We start from the raw sequence: 18,394 nt of genomic DNA, 5'->3' as shown, positions 1-18,394 counted from the left end.
GAGCCTTTGGGTCTCCTCTCCTCGGGGCACCGGCCTCCTCCCCGCCTGGGACCCTGACACTGAGGCTGGATCCTGGTCTTGCTGCGACTCGCGGGAGACAGGATTGGGGCCAAACTCGGGACCCCTGAGGTTACAGGGTGGGTCTTCTCCCCTCGGGGCCTGAGGCCCCACACAGGGTGCTTAGGGGAAGGCTGGTCCTCAGTCTGGACGCCCGCTGGGATATGGCCCCCCCTGTGGAAGGTGGAAGCAGGAAGGAACGTTTTGGGGGATTGTGGAGGTGTTCAGGAGTAACCTCCAAGCCTCATTCCTGAGAGAAGCCTCTCTCACTGCCCCCGTGTGTCTCTGGCGGAGAGGACCCCTGGGAGGTGTCCCACAGCCCCTCTTGGGAGGGGGAGCAGGGAGAGCCGTCTTGGAGGGGTCAGTGAAGAGGACTGGAGGGAAGCAGACCCGTCTCCCACTAAGGACGCTCAGAATCTCAGCATGGCATTTTGGGGTGGCATCTGGGCTGGGAACCTTAAGATAGTTGCCATCCCCATCTGTGCTGCTGCAATCTTTACTTGTACACTGGTCTCCTAAAGGGTCGGGGATGAGGCATCCTACCCCTGCCTGCTGGACATCCCATCAGGGTCCGAGAGGCCTGGGGAAGGCGGGTGTTCAGAAGGCAGCACCCCTCATGGAGATTGGTGACCTCTAGCGACTTCTCTTGGAGCGACCCTGCACCTCTGCCAAGAAGGCCCCCTGTGAGCATTTTCACCTCATTCCTCCACTGGGCGCCCCCGTCCCCCATCTTGTCCCTAAGGAAACTGAGGCTCCTGCGGTAGCCCAGAGCTGGAGCCTGCTCTTTTGATCCCTTTCTAGCCAGGTAGATATTAGCCTCTTAGCTCCTCCCAGGTGGGCATTTGGGTCTTGGCCTTTCCTGAGCCAGGGCTATCTCTGCCAGGTGCAGACCCTCCAGCCATTTGGGTCCTGTAGGCTTTCCCCAGCAAGGCATCTTTCACAGGTTTTTCCAGTGCTCTAGTATGTCCTCTACCCCGCTCCTGCCCTCCCTTAATAAGGGCTCCAGAACTACCTCATTGTCTCAGGCTTAGCCTCTCCATAGCAGCTCATCGCCTGGGACTGGGGGGCCACCTCCCCAGACCCTCAAGACCTCACAGTGCTCTGAAGCACTGTGGGCAGCCCATGGGCTCTAGAGAGGGGAAAAGGTAAGCCCCACGAATGGAGGGAACTCAGTGCTCTGGAAAAGAAACCCAGGCTGCTATAGAGGAAGGTCTATGCTGAGGGTGCGGCTGAGGAGTCAAGGTCTTGGACTTTGCATGTGGGTCAGTGTGCCTGGGGGTTGATGTGGGAGTGTCTTTGCTTCTAGATGTGGGCCTACCTGTGCCTATGAATGTATGCTTATGTGTGTGTGTGTGTGTGGCATACTTGTGGACAAGTGTGTTTATGGCCTATGAAGAGATGACACATCTGTGTGGGGAGCTGGTTCTTATGTTGCTGAGTCTTGAGTTTGTCAGTCTGCATATGTTCAGTTGAACTGTTTATTGAAGACCTCAGTACTGTGCATTGGGTTAAAAATACAAACCAGACACTCCTTCTTCAGAAGTTCATAGTCTGGTGGGATATATGTGATTTTGTGTCTGAAAGCATGCCTGGATATGCATGGGGGGGTGTGTGTGTGTGGGGAGGCAGCTGGGGCACTGGAACTTTGAAAATGGGAGCAAGGTCTGGCCTAAGCTTGTCCACTGCTCAGATGGACATGGACTCATGTGGCTACAGCCAAGTTCCCACAAGATGTCCAGGGTAAGTGCCAGGAAGCTCTGGGGAACAGTCCTGCCACAGGGGCCCCTGGCCTGCCCTCCCTGCCGGGTCCCAGCCCTCATAGAGCCCTGTGGGCAGACGCAGCTGCTGCCAACAGTCACCCTGATGAGGCACCTGGAACAGAGGACCGCTCCCGCTCCGCTCCCTGGGTGAACAAGCCTCAGCGGGCAGGCAGGAAAGGGCTGTGAGTCACTGTCAACAGAGCCTCCTGGGCTGGGGAGGACCGTGCTAGGGTGTGACAGCACGGTCCCAGGTGGGGAGGTGGATGGAGAGGTGGGTGGGTAGCTGGGGGCCAGCCTGCAGCCCATCCTTGGCATGGAGCAGAGATTCAAGTCTTCCAACCCTGGGATTGGGGGGGCAGTGGTGAGCTGGCTGGCTGGGTGCCCTGGTCAGAGGCCTTGTCCTTTTCTCCCCGGACTGGCCTGGTGACCAGTGAGGCTGGGCCAGGCCTGTCTGCAGGGGGTGAGGGGTGGATCTGAGAGTGCCTGGGACTGAACAGCCAGTGGTTAATCATTTCCCTGCCTGGGCCTTGAGCCGCCCTCCTACTTCCAATCGCTGCCCTGGGTTCTCCAGACACCTCTCCCTAGACCTTTGGGGCTGGAAGAGACCTGAGTTACCCCCCACAGTGACCATGCAGAAGGGGAACTTAAGGCCTGCCCTGCTCAGGTGCAGGAGACTGGCCAAGGTCATGGGCATGATCCCCCAACCCTCCTCTGTCCTCCCTTCCCTAACCCCAGTCCCCAAGATTTGCAAATTATGCTCCTTGAGCCCCAGGGTTCCACAAAATGCATCTGGGGCAGCCTTCTCACCCTCTCCCAGCTTTAAGCAGGGCAGCTGAGCCTTAATCTGTTGTATAATGGGCTTCTGTCTATGATTCAATTTGGGAAAATGGCTTGTACTGCTAAATATGACTTTTAACAACCACTTCACTTAAATCCCTGCCATCAGTTGCTGCAGAATAGATGGAAGTTAGACTTCAGGAAGAAAGTTCCCAGGGTAGAGGTCAAAACAAGCTCTCTAGTGAGTAACGGCAGAATGTCCTTTAGAATTATTTAAGAGAAAAAGAGGATCCCCATCCCCAAAGGATGGAGTTGAAGTCTGGAGTGGGGAGGAGGATAGCAGCATTACATGGAGACACCGAGAGGGACATGTGTCCCCAGATGAAGGCCAGGAGGTGGGGGAAAGGGTTGTCTAGAGGGAAGGAGTGGTAGGCAGCTGCCTGGGGCTGTGGCCTCAGCTAGTAGGAGCAGCTGAGCCTCCGCAGCTGTTCGGGCCTGTAGGTTTCACCCTGGGCCTGGCTCTGGGGCTTGAAGGTCAATGTTGCATGGGCCACGGGGTTTCCCCAAACCTCTGCCCTCCCAGGCTCCCAGGCTTTGCCCTGGGCCCCAGCCTGTCCTGGGGTAGGGAATACCACACCTTCAGATGCCCTCTTGGGCCTCTGTTCCCTCCCTTGAAGGTTCAGCTGTTGAGCTCCCTCTGGGTTAGGGCCAGCCCTCCCTGGCCATACCTTTTCTGGCACTTGGTATGATGGTTAAGCGTAGGTGCTTTTGAGAGGCTGACCTAGGTTTAAATCTTGGTTTCTTGTTTTTATTAGCTGTGCGATCGTGGGAAGGTTGTTAACTCTTTTGAGCCTCAGTTTCTTTATATACGAGATGGACAGAGTCTCACTCTGTCACTCAGGCTGGAGTGCAGTGGCATGATCTTGGCTCACTGCAACCTCCACCTCTTGGGTTCTAAGTGATTCTCATGCCTCAGTCTCCTGAGTAGCTGGGATTACAGGCGCCCGCCACCACGGACCCAGCTATTTTTTTTCTATTTTTAGTACAGATGGGGTTTCACCATGTTGGCCGGCCTGATCTCGAACTCCTGCCCTCAAGTGATCCGGCCGCCTTGGCCTCCCAAAGTGCTGGGATTACAAGCATGAGCCACCGCACCCAGTGGCTGTTGTAAAGATGAATGCCAGGGGTATTAGAACAGTGACTGGTGTTAGAGTAAGCACTTCCACGTTAGTGTGCTCACTTCCCCCCTTATTCCTTTAGTTATTCACCATGTTCAAGAAGTGCCTAACACTGTTTTGAGCCCTCAGTTTTTTAATTTATTACTGGGGTTTCAACAGCTGTACCCACTGAGTCCCCTCCTGGGGACTGGGCTTTGCCCTTCCCTCCCTTCCATTTTTATCCTCATAACTTGTGCTTATTGGAGATAACATTTCTCCCCAGGGTGGGGTGGTGCTGCTGAAGGGACTCATGTTTTGCCAGGTGTCAGGGTTGAAGGCAGCCCCATGATTCCCAAGCAGCAGGGGCGGTGGCCACATCACCTTGGGTGAGCTATGGGGTCTTAGTATAAAGCTTGGGGACACTCAAGGATCCCTGGGTTCTGAGTCCTGCAGCTGAGCCCTGGAGACCCCCAGGAGACCAGGCTCTGAGTGCTCATGCACCATCCAGGGCCCCACAGGAGGATAAACAAATAGGCCACTTCCCCAAGGGCTGAGGGTGGCATGTGGGAGCTGTGTGGCTCAAGACCCAGGAACCCTGGAGGCTCCAGCTCAGCCAGCTGTGGGTGTGGTCAGGGGAGAGGCACTCTGGGCTTTGTGGGCCACTTTCCCCAGTATTTGGATCCCTCAGCTTTGGAGGGCAAGAGCTGTTTCCAGGCTATGGACAAGGGACGGGGTGCATCCAGAGGAGGGAGCTGGAGGTGTGGCCTCACGTGTAAGCCAGCAGAAGTTGGCGTTTCTAAATCTGAATAAGAAAACCAAGGAGAGGTGGGACTTTGGAGCCTGCCTTATAAGAGAGCATCTGTTTGTGTGTAGTGAATGAAGGATGAATGAATGATGAATGTTCAATCTACAAATACCCAGAGCTCACAGCAGTCATGCAGAGGCCCAGGGGAATCTTGTTTAAGTTCCGTGGCCAAGGCCATAGGGGGATAGTTTGATTTGGGCGCCTCTCCATCTCCCCTGAGGAAGTAGAGGTGTGACTGACAGGAGGGATTGAGGTTCTCACCAGGAAGAGCTGCCCTGCTGGCAGAATTGGGAGGGTCTGGAAGGTTCTCCTCCAAAGGCACTTCCTTTCCCCTTGGGGTGATGGGCAGGCACTCGCCTTCCCTGGGCAGACAGCTGGGCAGATTGCCTTTGGGGGAGGAGTGGGCTTTGTTCCCCCTTTGTGCGCCTCGGCATCGAGGCAGAAGTTTTGTAATTTCTAGGGAGGAGGAGAGCCCAGCACCCCTGAAATTGACACTTACTTGCTGTTCCACATTTGTCAGCACCTGCTGGGTGCCGGGCACCGTACTGGGCACTAGAGATGAGACACCCTATCCTGCGGTTGTTTCTCTCACTGCAGGACAACTCAATCACTCTTCACTTATATAGAGATGGGGGTCTCACTTTGTTGCCCAAGCTGGTCTCAAACTCCTGGGCTCAAGTAATCCTCCCACCTTGGCCTCCCAAAGTGCTGGGATTACAGGCGTGAGCCACCATGCCCAGCCAGTCACACTCTTTTCAACCCTCTCAGACCTTCTCCACTCTCTCCTTTGTTTGCTCATCAAAAAAAAAAAAAAAAAAAGCAAAACTTAAGATCTGTACATTAATGTAAATTATACCTTAACTTAAAGCATTCTTTGAGCCCACATCCTCCTCTAGCTACTGTCCCAACTTTTTTTTTTTTTTTTGAGATGGAGTCTTACTTTGTCATCTAGGCTGGAGTGCAGTGGCGTGATCTTGGCTCACTGCAACCTCTACCTCCTGGATTCTAGCCATTTTCTTGCCTCAGCCTCCCAAGTGGCTGGGATTATAGGAGTCTGCCACCATGCCCGGCTAATTTTTGTATTTTTAGGAGAGACAGGGTTTCACCATATTGGCCAGGCTGGTCTTGAACTCCTGACCTCAGGTGATCCACCTGCCTCAGCCTCTCAAAGTGCTAGGATTACAGGCATGAGCCACTGTGCCCAGCCACTACTGTTCCATGCTATTTGCTTCTCAAAAGAGTTGTTGATACTCACTAATTCCTTTTTTGGTTTCCATTTACCCCCACCAGCCTGCTCAGGCTCTGGTACAGCCCTGGCATCTGCTTTTCCTGTGGTATCTGGTGCCTCTGTGCTCACAATTCTGTCTTGGTCTCATTCCCCTCGCAGCAGCATCTGACTGGGGCCCTCACTCCCCTGTTCATGCCAACACCCTCCTCTGGTTTCCTTCCAGCTCCCTGGCTGCAACGTCTTGATCTTTGCCTTTCGCTGGTTTCTTCTCCTTTGGAACAAGCCAGAAGCACAGCTCTTCATCTCCTTCTTGTCCCTCCCCACTACCACCCAACAGCCCACCACACTCCTTCCTCCCCTGGTCTTCCCCATGTTATTAATGGCCCTCCAGAAATAGCTTGGGCCCAAAATCTAGCAGTTCTTGATTTTTCTCTTTTCCTCTCCCTCCTCCCACCCAACATCCAATCCAACAGTCAACCCTGGTGGCTGTATCTTCAGAACATGTCCCGAATCTATCACTTTTCCCCATATTTTCTGTCCCCACCCCAGTTCAAGCCACCATAGTTCTAGCTCTCGCCTATGGGATTGCAGGTGCCTTCTGACGGGTCCTCTGTTTCCCCTCTCCCCTGGCCCTTTCAATGTTTTTTTTTTTCATACAGCAGCCAGAGAGATTAAAAATAGAGCGATCCCATCATGTTGTTTTTCTGTGTAACACTCTCCAGGGCTCTCCAGCACACCTGGAATAAAACCCAAGTCCTTTCCCTGGTCTCCAAGGCCCTCTGCTCTGGCCTTGCTTCCCTCTCCAGCTTCCCTGTGGGCCACTCTGGCCCTGGTTTCCCGTCTTCCCCTGAATACCCAGCTCCTCACATGCAGGCTCTGCACTGGCTGGATCCTCCTCCTGGAACACTGGCTGACGGATCTGGCTCTGCTGCCTCCTCCTCATGAACCAGGGCTCTCCGAGGGGGCTTTCCCACCCAGCCACCTTCTCTCATGTCACTTACTTTGTTCCCTTGTCCTAGTGACACTTAGCTGGTGTCATTTTGTTCATGGGCTTGTTTCCTTGCTCATGGTCTGACTCCCCCATGCTGGATGTGTGCCCTGTGAAGGGGAAGACCCTGTTGGTCTCATTCCCAGCTGTTCCCAGCCCCTGGAATCGTGCCTGGTACATAGTAGGTCCTCAAAAGTAATTTTTTAGTGAATATTGGCTCAATCCAGGGGATGCTGGACCTAGAAAAAAATCGGAGCGGTTCATGTGGTTCATCCTTCTCATTTTAGGAGGGAAAACTGAGGAAGAGAAAAGGAAGTAACTTGCCAAAGGGCAGGAGGACTAGAAACCAGATCACCTGACCTTGCCTTACCACAGACTCCCTGTGGAGGAGACAGGCTCAGTGGGAACTAGGGCTGAGCAGCAGGAGAGGCTGGGACAGCAAAGGGTAGAGAGTTTGGCATCTGGCAGTGGCAAGAGGAGGCCTTGCAGTCGTTGCTATAACTCTGGGAGGGAAGAAAGAGGCCTTTTCTAGAACCTTTTAACCTGATTTGCAGACAATGCAGGGGGAACCACAGAGAAGGGCTCCCCCAGCTGACTTTCACAGCCTGGTACTCCCCTGCTCACACCCCCTCCTGTCTCCCGGGGTGAAGCTCAGCCTCCTGTCCCCAGCAAACCCTGAACCTCGGTACCTTCCCTCTGCCTGGACTGCCAGCCCCACCCCATCGAAAGCCTGTTTGTTCACTGAGATGCAGCCCGGTTCATCTCTTCCATGAGCCTTTTCTGATAATCTTGGCCTATAGCATCTGTTCTCTCACACTGAAGAACAACTTATGCACTTTGGTTGGGGGAGTTATTGGTGGACACACTTCTCTTTTTCACTGGATTGTCAATATCTCCAGGGCAGAGACCCTGCCATGTTCTGTGATGCCCACACAGTTCCTGACATGGTGCTGGCTTGTCATAGTCATTCAGTTTTCATTTGCTGTTTGGTTGGACTGGAAGGGGTGGGGTGGATGGAAGATGGGCTGGTGGGAGGTGGTAGGTAGGGCAGGTGGATAAAGATGGTGGAAACAGCTGAGTGGCTGAGTACATGGATGTGTGGGCGAGTAGTAGATGGATAGACTGGTGGAGTTGCCTGGCTGGCTGTAGAATGCCTGCTTGGCCCCATGAATGAAGGGTGACTGGGGCAGGAACCAAAAGTAGAGTGTGGGGTCCCCTTGCTCCCCAGAGAAGTGAAAGTTGTCTGGATTTTCATCCAGATCTGTGGAGCTCCATGGCTCAACTCTTTCCACGAAGCTCTTTCCATCTGAAAGGTGAGGGAGGCTCCAAGAGCCCCTGGGAAGTGAAAGGAAGGCGATATTGGAGTTTTTTCCATGGGTAAATGGTTTTGTTTGTAAGTCTTCCCTTCCCAAAAGCTAAGAAATTCCATGGGGAATTGAGTGAGGAAATATCTCCATGACTGTCCACTGATGGATATTACCTAAGAATCCCAGGACCAAAAAGAGAAAGGCACTTGGCAAGTTCATCTGTTTCCTTCAGGCAGGACCAGGCCCGCCCTTCCACGTTCCTAGTCACCCCCGGTGATGGAGGCCCTCCCATTCTCATCCCGGGGTCCAGAGTACAGTTCAACCCAGTGGTTCCTATGTGGGGTGACTTTGCCCCCCAGGAGACATTTGGCAATGTCAGGAAACATTTTGGTTGTCCCATCTGGGGCATGTACTACTGGCACCCAGCAGGTAGAGGCTAGAGATGCTGCTAAACGTCCTGTGATCCAGGACAGCCCTGGACACGCAATTGTCTGGCCAAAGTGTCAACAGTGCTGAGCTGGAGAAACCCCAGTCTAATCCAAAGCCCTGCAGCTTTACTAGGAATTTGATAGACGTATGATTTGAACTACATTTAAAATGTTAAGTTTTTTTTGAGATGGAGTTTCACTCTTGCCCAGGCTGGAGTGCAATGGCACTATCTCGGCTCACTGCAACCTCTGCCTCCCAGGTTCGAGCAATTCTCTGGCCTCAGCCTCCCGAGTAGCTGGGATTATAGGCATGCACCGCTATGCCCAGCTAATTTTTTTTTTTTTTTTTGTATTTTTAGTAGAGACAGGGTTTCACCAAGTCTTGATCTCTGGTGATCCACCCTCCTCAGCCTCCCAAAGTGCTGGGATTACAGGTGTGAGCCACCGCGCCCGGCCTAAAATGTTAAGTTTTTGAGTAGTCACATTAAAAAAGTAAAAAGCAGCCCAGCACAGTGGCTCATGCCTGTAATCCCAGCACTTTGGGAGGCCAAGGTGGGAGGATTGCTTGAGCCCAGGAGTCTAGGACCAGCTGAGCAACATTGTGAGACCTCATTTCTACAAAAAATCTAAAAATTAACCAGGTGTAGTGGTGCACACCTGTAGTCCTAGCTACTCAGGAGGCTGAGGTGGGAGGATCACTTGAGCCTGGGAGGTTGGGGCTGCAGTGAGCTGTGATTGTGCCACTGCACTCCAATCTGAGCAACACAGCGAGATCCTGTTTCAAAAAAAAGGAAAAAACAAAATTAATTTTAATATTATAGCTCATTTACCCCAATATATCCACAATATTGCCACTTCAACACACAATCAATATACACAATTTTTTTCTTTCTTTTTTGAGACAGAGTCTTGTTGTGTCACCCAGGCTGGAGTGCAGTGACACAATCTCGACTCACTGCAACCTCTGCCTCCTGGGTTCAAGTGATTCTCGTGCCTCAACCTCCTCAGTAGCTGGGACTACAGGTGTGCACCACCACACCCGGCTAATCTTTTTTTTTTTTTTGTATTTTTGTAGAGATGGAGGTTGCCATGTTGCTCAAGCTGGTCTCAAACTCCTGAGCTCAGGCAATCCGCGTGTCTCAGCCTCCTAAAGTGCTAGGATCATAGGCATGAGCGACCGCGCCTGGCCGATGTACATAGTTCTTAATGAGACCTTTCACTGGTCTTCAAGATCCAGTGTGTATTTCACACAGCATGCCTTGGTTCACACCAGCCACGTTTCAAGCACTTCTGAGCTGCTAGTAGCCAGTGCAGGCCTAGAGGGCATTTGGTCTCTTCTCCCAGCCCTAGAGGAGCCTGCCTCGGGAGGGTCCTGGGTTTCCCCAGCTGTGCTGACCCTCTCCTCCCCTCCCCCAGCCTTGCCCGGCAGAGGACTCTGGAGGATGAGGAGGAACAGGAGCGCGAGCGCAGGCGGCGGCACCGCAACCTGAGCTCCACCACGGACGATGAGGCTCCCAGGCTCAGCCAGAATGGAGACCGGCAGGCCTCTGCTTCTGAGAGGTAGGTGCTCAGGTTTCTATCCTGATGGATGGGGATGGACTGGTTGCCTCAGACTAAGTGCAGCATATTCAGTCTGCTCAGGGAGTTGGGGCCCAGGAAATGAGGCTGAAGGGTGTGATGATGAATTTCCAGTTCCCCACCTTCCCCAGACTCAGTCCTGCCAGCTTCCATCCTCTTCATAACAATGCTTGCTACTATTTGTAGACCATCCATGAGCCAATACTGTGCTGGACATTTTATGGCCATAGCTCACGTAATCCACACAATGTCCCTGAGAGAGAGGTATTGTTAACCCATTTTACAGGTGGAGTAACAGGGTTGAAAAGTACTTAGGTGACTTGCTGAGGTCACGTACCTCAAGAGTGGCAGGGCCAGAATGTCCATCCAGATCTGTCAAGCTCCCGCCTCCTTCCATTATCCAGGCTGCCTTCTTCTAACCCTGACCCTCTATAATTTACTTCTTTTTTTTTTTTTTTTTGAGACGAAGTCTCGCTGTGTCGCTAGGCTGGAGTGCAGTGGCGCGATCTCAGCTCACTGCAAGCTCCGCCTCCTAGGTTCAAGCAATTCTTCTGCCTCAGCCTCCTGAGTAGCTGGGACTACAGGCACCCACCACCACAGCCAGCTAATTTTTGTATTTTTAGTAGAAATGGGGTTTTACCATGTTGGCCAGGATGGTCTCGATCTGTTGACCTCATGATCCACCTGCCTTGGCCTCCCAAAGTGCTGGGAATACAGGCATGAGCCACCGTGCCCAGCTGCCTTTTTTTTTTTTGAGATGGAGTCTTGCTCTGTCACCCCGGCTGGAGTGCAGTGGCGCAATCTTGGCTCACTGCAACCTCCGCCTCCCAGGTTCAAGCTATTTTGCCTCAGCCTCCCGAGTAGCTGAGATTAAAGGCACCTGCCACCATGCCCGGATAATTTTTGTATTTTTAGGAGAGATGGGGTTTCACCATGTTGGGCAGGCTGATCTTGAACTCCTGACCTCAGGTGATCCACCAGCCTCAACTTCCCAGTGCTGGGATTACAGGTGTGAGCCGCTGCACCGGCCTATAATTTACTTCTGAGGAGAAGAACCTTGGGGCTAGTTTTGCCATCTAGATTTTGGGATTATGAGGTGGGGGAAGAGCCTGGGGTTTACTGAATGCCACCTACATGCCAGGACTGTCCTGGGCACCCTCATGAGTCTCATTTTGCTTCCTAACAAGCCCAGTTTGTAGATGTGAAAACTGAGGCTCCGACAGTAAGTTAACTTGCCTGAAAGCACATGGAGAGCAGGGTGATGAGGAAGGAAAATAATCTCCTTTTGCTGGAGGCCAGGTGCTGTGGGTTATGGACAATCCTCTCATGTTACTTTTGTTTCTTTGGGTCCCCCAAGAAGGGAGAACAGGGCTGTGATGACCCTCTCCTCTCCTGTCCTCCCCTCCCCCAGCCTTGCCCGGCAGCAGACTCTGGAGGATGTCCAGAGCTGGGCTGCACCAGTACCTGTGGCTGTCACCTAGTCTTGGCTGCACCCACAAGACTGACAGGAGTGTGGAATGGTGCATCGGAAGACTTAGGTTCTGCTCCCAGCTCCCCCACGAATCAGCTGTGTGACCTTGACAAAATCCCTGGACATCTCTAGTCTTGATCTAAGATCTAAGGGGCAGAGACTGTGCTTATTCCTTTTGATCCCCAATGCCCCAAGCAGGCTCTGGCACATATTAAAGCAGTTATTCAGAGTCTGTTGACTACGTCTGAACATGGAGTCGTTGGACTTCATAGGAATTTATAAGCTTTTTAAAAAGCATAGTGTGCTTTGCTCAGATGATACCTTGGAAGTGCAATATATCGAGTGGATAAAGGTGGTGGTGAGCCGGGGAGGCCAGGGCCTGACATCCTCACCTCCTCCTTGGTGGCCCTGGCAGCATCTCCATTGGGTTAGGTATACTTAGGGTATCTTCCACCTCTATCCTCTGATTCTGTCTCCCATCTTCTGATTCAGACTACCGAGCGTGGAAGAAGCAGAGGTGCCCAAGCCACTGCCCCCAGCCTCCAAAGATGAGGACGAGGACATCCAGAGCATCCTCAGAACACGGCAGGAGCGGAGGCAGAGGCGGCAGGTGGTGGAGGCTGCACAGGCCCCCATCCAGGAGAGGCTGGAGGCAGAGGAGGGGAGGAACAGCTTGAGCCCTGTGCAGGCCACACAGAAACCCCTAGTCTCCAAGAAGGAACTGGAAATCCCACCTCGCCGGAGACTGAGTCGGGAACAGCGGGGCCCCTGGGCCCTGGAGGAGGAGAGCTTGGTGGGCAGGGAGCCAGAAGAGAGGAAGAAAGGGGTTCCAGAAAAGTCCCCAGTCTTGGAGAAGTCCTCCATGCCAAAGAAGACGGCACCTGAAAAGAGCCTGGTCTCCGATAAAACCTCCATCTCTGAGAAGGTGCTGGCCTCAGAGAAGACATCTCTATCAGAGAAGATAGCAGTGTCAGAGAAAAGAAACAGCTCAGAGAAGAAGTCTGTTCTAGAAAAAACCAGTGTCTCTGAGAAGTCGCTGGCCCCAGGGATGGCACTGGGCTCAGGAAGGAGGCTGGTGTCTGAGAAAGCTTCCATCTTTGAGAAGGCACTGGCCTCAGAGAAGAGCCCAACTGCAGATGCTAAGCCGGCCCCAAAGAGGGCCACAGCCTCAGAGCAGCCCCTGGCGCAGGAGCCGCCAGCCTCTGGGGGAAGCCCAGCCACCACCAAGGAGCAGAGAGGAAGGGCCCTCCCTGGGAAGAACCTGCCCTCTTTGGCAAAGCAGGGGGCTTCAGACCCTCCGACTGTGGCCTCCCGCCTCCCACCCGTCACACTCCAGGTTGGCAGTGTCCCGTCCCTCCCACCCTTCTACTCTGCCACCTGGCTGGCACTGCCGGCCAGTCCCACCCAGGTAGTCCCTGGTTCCCTGGCTGCCTCCATCCTCCTACCTGCAGGCTGGCCTTGGAAGTCTCTTCTTTCCCTGCCTGCTTCTAGCCATGGTCAGAGCAGGGAGGCTGAGATGGGGCAGGCTGCTGGAGCTTAAAGGGGCACCAGCTGTGGGGCAGGGAGCATCTGGTGCCCCCCACCATATCCTCATCCAGGGCCTGGGCTCCAGGACCCCGGCAGACTAGTGGGGAGCCTCAGATCCTTCTAGAAGCTCCCCTGGAAAGCTCTGCCTGGTGCCCTGGCCCCAAGGGACTTTGTCTGTGAGCCACTCCCACAGCAGATGAAGGAGGCAGGAGAGAAGGCACAGGGCTGTCTCATTCTCCCCTCTTCCTGCAGCTCCTGGGGTGAGCCATGGGGTTTATGGCTGCCCCGGCTTGATGGGCCCTAGACCTCTTATGTGACACTCCCCCTGCTCCATCCAGGTGAAAATCCCCAGCAAGGAGGAAGAGGCAGATATGTCCTCACCCACACAGCGAACCTACAGCAGCTCCCTCAAACGCTCCAGCCCCAGGACCATCTCCTTTCGGGTGAGAGCCCTGGGCACCCTGGTCTGCGAGCCACTGGAGGGCAAGTGGAGGAAGCCCGCATCCATTACAACATAGGAGCCGTAGGTTAGGTAGGAAGGTCCCCTGGATAGAGAGGAGCTTTGGATTCCCATGGGTGGCCCTGAACAAACAAGGTTGTATTCAGCAGAGGAGAACAGGTTAGTAACCTGGGGGGTAGGTGCCAGTAAGCATGAGCAGCCCCACCTAGTGGGCAAGGCCAGGGCTGCATGAAGACCGGACAGGCAGGGCTGGCCCTGGGCTGCAGGGAGGTCCACACCTGCCTTCATCAGTTCCTGGCCTCACCTAGGAGACTTGTCTAGGAGGGGAGGGGAGGAACAGAGAGCAGCAAGGCTCTCCTACTGCTCCCTGCCCTGCCACTCTCCCAATAGTACAAACTATGTGGATTGGGGAAATCTCGTCTTGCTTTGTCCTGGTGTTTATTCTTGGTTCTTCTGTTCACTGGGTCATTCACTCAATCATTGGGTATCATGCCTCTAATGTGTGCCAGGCCCTGGAGAGGTGGCCCAATAGCGACTGGTGCCCCCACAGAGCTCATGGGCAGTGGGAGGCAGATAGGAAACAGGTGGTTACAGGTGCCCTGCGAAGGAAGTCTGAAGAAAGTCTTCTGACCCATATTAGTGGGTGGGAACCTGTGTCTTCCAGATACAAACAAGGATCTTTAACGAAGGCTTGTCCACATATTTCTTTGGTGGGGTTGACCCCTGGTAGAAGGGGTGGGAGGTCTGAAGAGGAGGAGGACATGTCTTGAGAGCTGGGCTCCTCACTCGAGGGGGCCACCGATTTCCCGGGGACTCCCACACAACAATGCCTTTCCTTCTCATTTCAGATGAAACCCAAGAAAGAAAACTCGGAAACAACCCTAACTCGCAGGTGGGGGGCCTGGAGGCTCTGGTTCTTTCTATTTGGCCATGTTCAGGCTATTTTCTGAGTACCTGCACCCGCCCTCCTTGTGCCAGGCTGTGCGGTAGGGCACATGAGGGGAAGGTGCAGTCCTTGCCCAGGGCTCCAGATCTGGCAGGGGGATGGGATTAACAGGATGAACTCAGGCGGGATAAGATGGAACAAGGATGGGGAAGGATCAGGGAGAGCTGCTCAGAGGAGGCAGGGCTTGGGTGGGGCCCCAAAGGGGGATGAGGGTTTAGCCTTGAGGTTAGGACAGGGAAAGGGGGCTTTCTGGGAGGGAGACCACGAACAGTGTAAGGGAGGGGAAGCCCCTGCTCCAGCAGGCCTGGTTGGGGGGCTGTGGGTCTGCAGGTTTAACAAGGATTCCTGGGCTCGCTGGTGTTGATGCAAGAAGCCTGAGGACTATGCTTTGAAAAAAAAGCAAAACTGAAATAGGATCTGAGAAGCAGATGTGCTTATGTATTAGGAATGTCATCCACTCATGCTGTATTCATCTGCCCCATGAACATTTACTGGAGCCTACTACACTAGGCTAGGCCTGGGGGCTGGGGTGGGGGTGGAGGAGGAGGAGTACAAAGACAAATGACACAGCTGCTGTCCTCAAGCAACTCACACCCACCCAGCAAACCTATAGCAGCTCTCTCAAACATGAGAACATTACATACTGGCCAACCAGGGAGGGACAGGGACACAGGAATATGAACCCAGGGCTAGGAGCTCAGGAGTAGCTGCACCTGCTCAGCCTGTGAGAGCTGGGGAAGGTGTCATGGAGCAATTGATTTTCCATGAACTAGCAGGAAGTTTGCTCATGTAAAACTGGAGGAATAGCATTTTAAATAGAGGGAACAGCATGTGAAAAAGGCAGAGTGAAGAGCATGGTGTCCAGCTGGCTGGCACACAGGCATACTGTGGGGGAGGGAAGGGGAGGGCCCAGATCACTAGAGCCTTGTATGCTGTGCCAAGGCCTATGGGGTCTGAGCTGGAAGGACAGGATCAGATTTGAGGTAGGAGCAGCCATGTGGAGAGCTCACGGTGGCAGGCTGGGAGAGCAGGTAAGTGGCGATTGCTGTGATGGGGAAGACGGAAAGGAAGGACCTGCTTTGGGAGGTGTTTTGCAGTGGAAATGACAAGGTATGGGGGAGAAGGGATGTCCTATTGAATGGGACGTTTCTTGGAAGTGGAGGGAAATCCCTGGCGTCTGTAAGTTCCTCATGTTGGCCAAGTCAACACAGCCTGCTGTGTGATGGAGGGCCACATTCTCTTGGCCACAATGAGAACGTGTGATGGGGCTGCTCCTCAGGCCCTGGGGGCAGGCCTGGTCTCCCTGGGTGTCTCACTTGGCTCGCCTGTTCCATCTTCCATCCTGCAGTGCCAGCATGAAGCTCCCAGACAACACAGTGAAGTTGGGAGAGAAGCTGGAGAGATACCACACGGCCATACGGGTGGGTGGGGGCTTCTCCTGAGGGGCGGAGGGTGCAGGATGAGTAGTGGGCATGGCCCTTTCCCCTCCCCAGCATGGGTCAGCTGTTGGTGTTCTTGGTTCCCAGAGATCAGAATCTGTCAAGTCTCGGGGTCTGCCTTGCACTGAGTTATTCGTGGCTCCTGTGGGTGTAGCCAGCAAGCGCCACCTCTTTGAGAAGGAACTGGCGGGCCAGAGCCGAGCAGAACCAGCCTCCAGCCGGAAGGTGAGGGGCTCAGGCCCCACAGGGTCCTTAGGGTGATTAGCCCTGACGTCTCCAAAACCCAAATCTTGGCTGTGGCAATGCTAGAAAACTGTTTTCATGTGTCAATTAATGTTGGCAGAACCTCCATTTGAGTTCCCATTCACGTTCCTGAGCCCATCTCCTTAGCTGGGCACACAGCTCCCTGGGGGAAGGGGAGGGGGCTGTCCCAGGTATATGTGGCATGTGCTGGATGCATAGGGGAGTGAGGGAGAGTCCTATCCCATTCCAGGGCCTCTGAACATGCCTCGCTGCTGCCAAGGGCCCTAAACCCTGAGATGGAAAGTTCTCTTTTTAGGAGAACTTGAGGCTCTCAGGGGTTGTGACATCAAGGCTCAACCTGTGGATCAGCAGGACCCAGGAATCTGGAGATCAGGACCCCCAGGTATCCTCACCCTCCCTGATGTCTCTTACTGTGGAGCCTTTGTGGTGGGATGACTGGGGACAGAGGAGGGACAGTCGGGAGAGGAGGAGTCATTTCGGGAGAGGAGGAGTCATTTCGGGAGAGGAGGAGTCATTTCAGGAGTGGAGGCAGTCGGGAATAGATGGGTGTGTGGGTCAGACTCTGGCAGAGAGGAGGGGTGGGTCTGGGTTCCTTTTCTCTTTTGGGAAGAGAAAGGACATCCTGGGCTGGGAGCTGGGCCTGGGGTATCCCGAGCCCTTTGGAGCCTGGTCTTAGTCTCTGGTCTCCACCCTGATACCCTCAATCAGGAGGCACAGAAAGCATCATCTGCAACCGAGAGGACTCAGTGGGGACAGAAATCTGACTCCTCGCTGGACGCTGAGGTGAATGGTGGGGAGGAGCCTGGCCCTACGGCGGAGGGCCACGGTGTACTGTGGGAGACCCCATCGTCCCCGTGTGCACACACTAATTGGCCTGCAATCGCGCAGTCCACCCAGAACGCCCCCATCCCTGCTCATGCAGATTGGTCTGAGCCAACCGTGAGAACAAGGTTGAGCCCTCACCTGGTTGTGCTGCCTGCAGCTCTGCAGAGCCCCTCCCTCTTCAGCTGGCAGATTACAGGGCTCTGACTCCTTGTGGGTGTGGGGCTTGGGCAAAGGGATGCCTTCCTATCCAGTGGCCCCCTTCCCCTTCCATCCCTGACACCCCATTGACTTGTGCTAACAGCTCTTTGCCCCACAGGTGTGACAAGCCCCGCCAAGACAGACCTGCAAGTCTTCGTCTCAAGGGACCTCCCTCATGCCAGGCCCCTGCCTCTCACAGCAGCACCCTTTCCTCTCATTGTCCCTGTTCCCTTTTTGCCTGTGGATCTGTTTGGCCAGGGTCCCTGGGGTCAGGAATATTTGCAAGACTCAGCCAGCTCCTTCCCAGCCCAGCCTCTTGGGGCTGGGACTTTCTCACCCTGCGGCAGGCACAACAGATGCTGGGACCCAGTCTCTGCCCAGGTCACAGCACAAGTGCACATCAGCACTATGGGGCCTATGTCCTGCCCAGAGACCTCTGCTCCTTCCTGCTCACATCCACAGTCAGGGCACGGCGCCCCTCAAGAACTCCAGAGTCACCTGTCTCATCGGCTCCCAGCAAGTGCCTCTTTGTCTATGATGTCCCCCTTCTCTGAGGCCTGGACCCACCCATCTTTGTCCCTGGGGCCTGCTCCCAGCCACTGAGGCCCGCTCTGGCCAGGGGAGAAGGAGCTGCCGTGCGTCTTCCCTGTGCCCCGTCTCCCTGCTTGGTTCTCCCCTCCCTTCCCTGGCCGGCTGCCATGGCCAGGAGCTAAGTGCCTTTTTGTGTGCAACCACTTACCCTTTCTCTGAAAAACCTGTTCTCAGGAAGGATCTGATAAACTCATTTACTCTCAGGTGTAAGAGACTGATGAGACCTTAGAAGCGAATTCCTCTCTGGAGGCCTTGCTTTCTAGCAGAGGTCACCTGAAGTGTGTGAGGAGGATCATCATTTTCCTCATCCCCCCTCTTCTCACATTAAGGTGGTGGCTTGCCACTCAGCAGTCCTAGCTTGGTGACTGGGAACTGCCACATACAGGGCCAGGCCTACCCTCCTTCCCCACAAGCCCCCTCCAACCCCCACCCCCATGCTCTGGACCTCATGGCTCCTATGAGCTTGGAGCATGGTGAACCATCAGAGAATCTAGAACCAACCAAGCTAGGAACATCAGCCTGGTGCCCTGTTAACCCCTTAAAGCTGTGGTTTACAACTTTTCAAAAATTTAAATCATTAGAACTCTC

The 18,394-nt window shown here is 54.2% G+C and overlaps 1 protein-coding gene across 1 annotated transcript in view, besides 2 other annotated features; it reads left to right on the top strand.

The window, feature by feature from the left end:
- Positions 1 to 207: part of an enhancer, noted in NCBI's record as "H3K27ac-H3K4me1 hESC enhancer chr1:201368148-201368810 (GRCh37/hg19 assembly coordinates)", that runs on past the window's edge. NCBI's record gives its function as "activates a minimal SCP1, AML or CMV promoter by ChIP-STARR-seq in primed H9 embryonic stem cells {active_cell/tissue: H9 hESC(primed)}" and the evidence as "EXISTENCE:reporter gene assay evidence [ECO:0000049][PMID:30033119]".
- The window catches only part of LAD1 (ladinin 1), an 18,492-nt gene extending 98 nt beyond the window's left edge, over positions 1 to 18,394 (top strand). Inside the window, exons 2-10 of the mRNA NM_005558.4 lie at positions 9,924 to 10,067; positions 12,049 to 12,892; positions 13,422 to 13,526; positions 14,392 to 14,435; positions 15,838 to 15,910; positions 16,016 to 16,153; positions 16,488 to 16,574; positions 16,901 to 16,975; positions 17,334 to 18,394. Of these exons, the coding sequence (NP_005549.2) occupies positions 9,924 to 10,067; positions 12,049 to 12,892; positions 13,422 to 13,526; positions 14,392 to 14,435; positions 15,838 to 15,910; positions 16,016 to 16,153; positions 16,488 to 16,574; positions 16,901 to 16,975; positions 17,334 to 17,339 (1,516 nt within the window). The 3' untranslated portion in view covers positions 17,340 to 18,394. The remainder of the gene's footprint in view (positions 1 to 9,923; positions 10,068 to 12,048; positions 12,893 to 13,421; positions 13,527 to 14,391; positions 14,436 to 15,837; positions 15,911 to 16,015; positions 16,154 to 16,487; positions 16,575 to 16,900; positions 16,976 to 17,333) is intronic.
- Positions 9,498 to 9,998: an enhancer, noted in NCBI's record as "H3K4me1 hESC enhancer chr1:201358357-201358857 (GRCh37/hg19 assembly coordinates)". NCBI's record gives its function as "activates a minimal SCP1, AML or CMV promoter by ChIP-STARR-seq in naive H9 embryonic stem cells {active_cell/tissue: H9 hESC(naive)}" and the evidence as "EXISTENCE:reporter gene assay evidence [ECO:0000049][PMID:30033119]".

This window comes from Homo sapiens, chromosome 1, assembly GCF_000001405.40.
Source record: "Homo sapiens chromosome 1, GRCh38.p14 Primary Assembly".
NCBI classification, from domain to species: Eukaryota; Metazoa; Chordata; class Mammalia; order Primates; family Hominidae; genus Homo; species Homo sapiens.
This window is presented reverse-complemented; position numbering and strand designations above follow the sequence as displayed.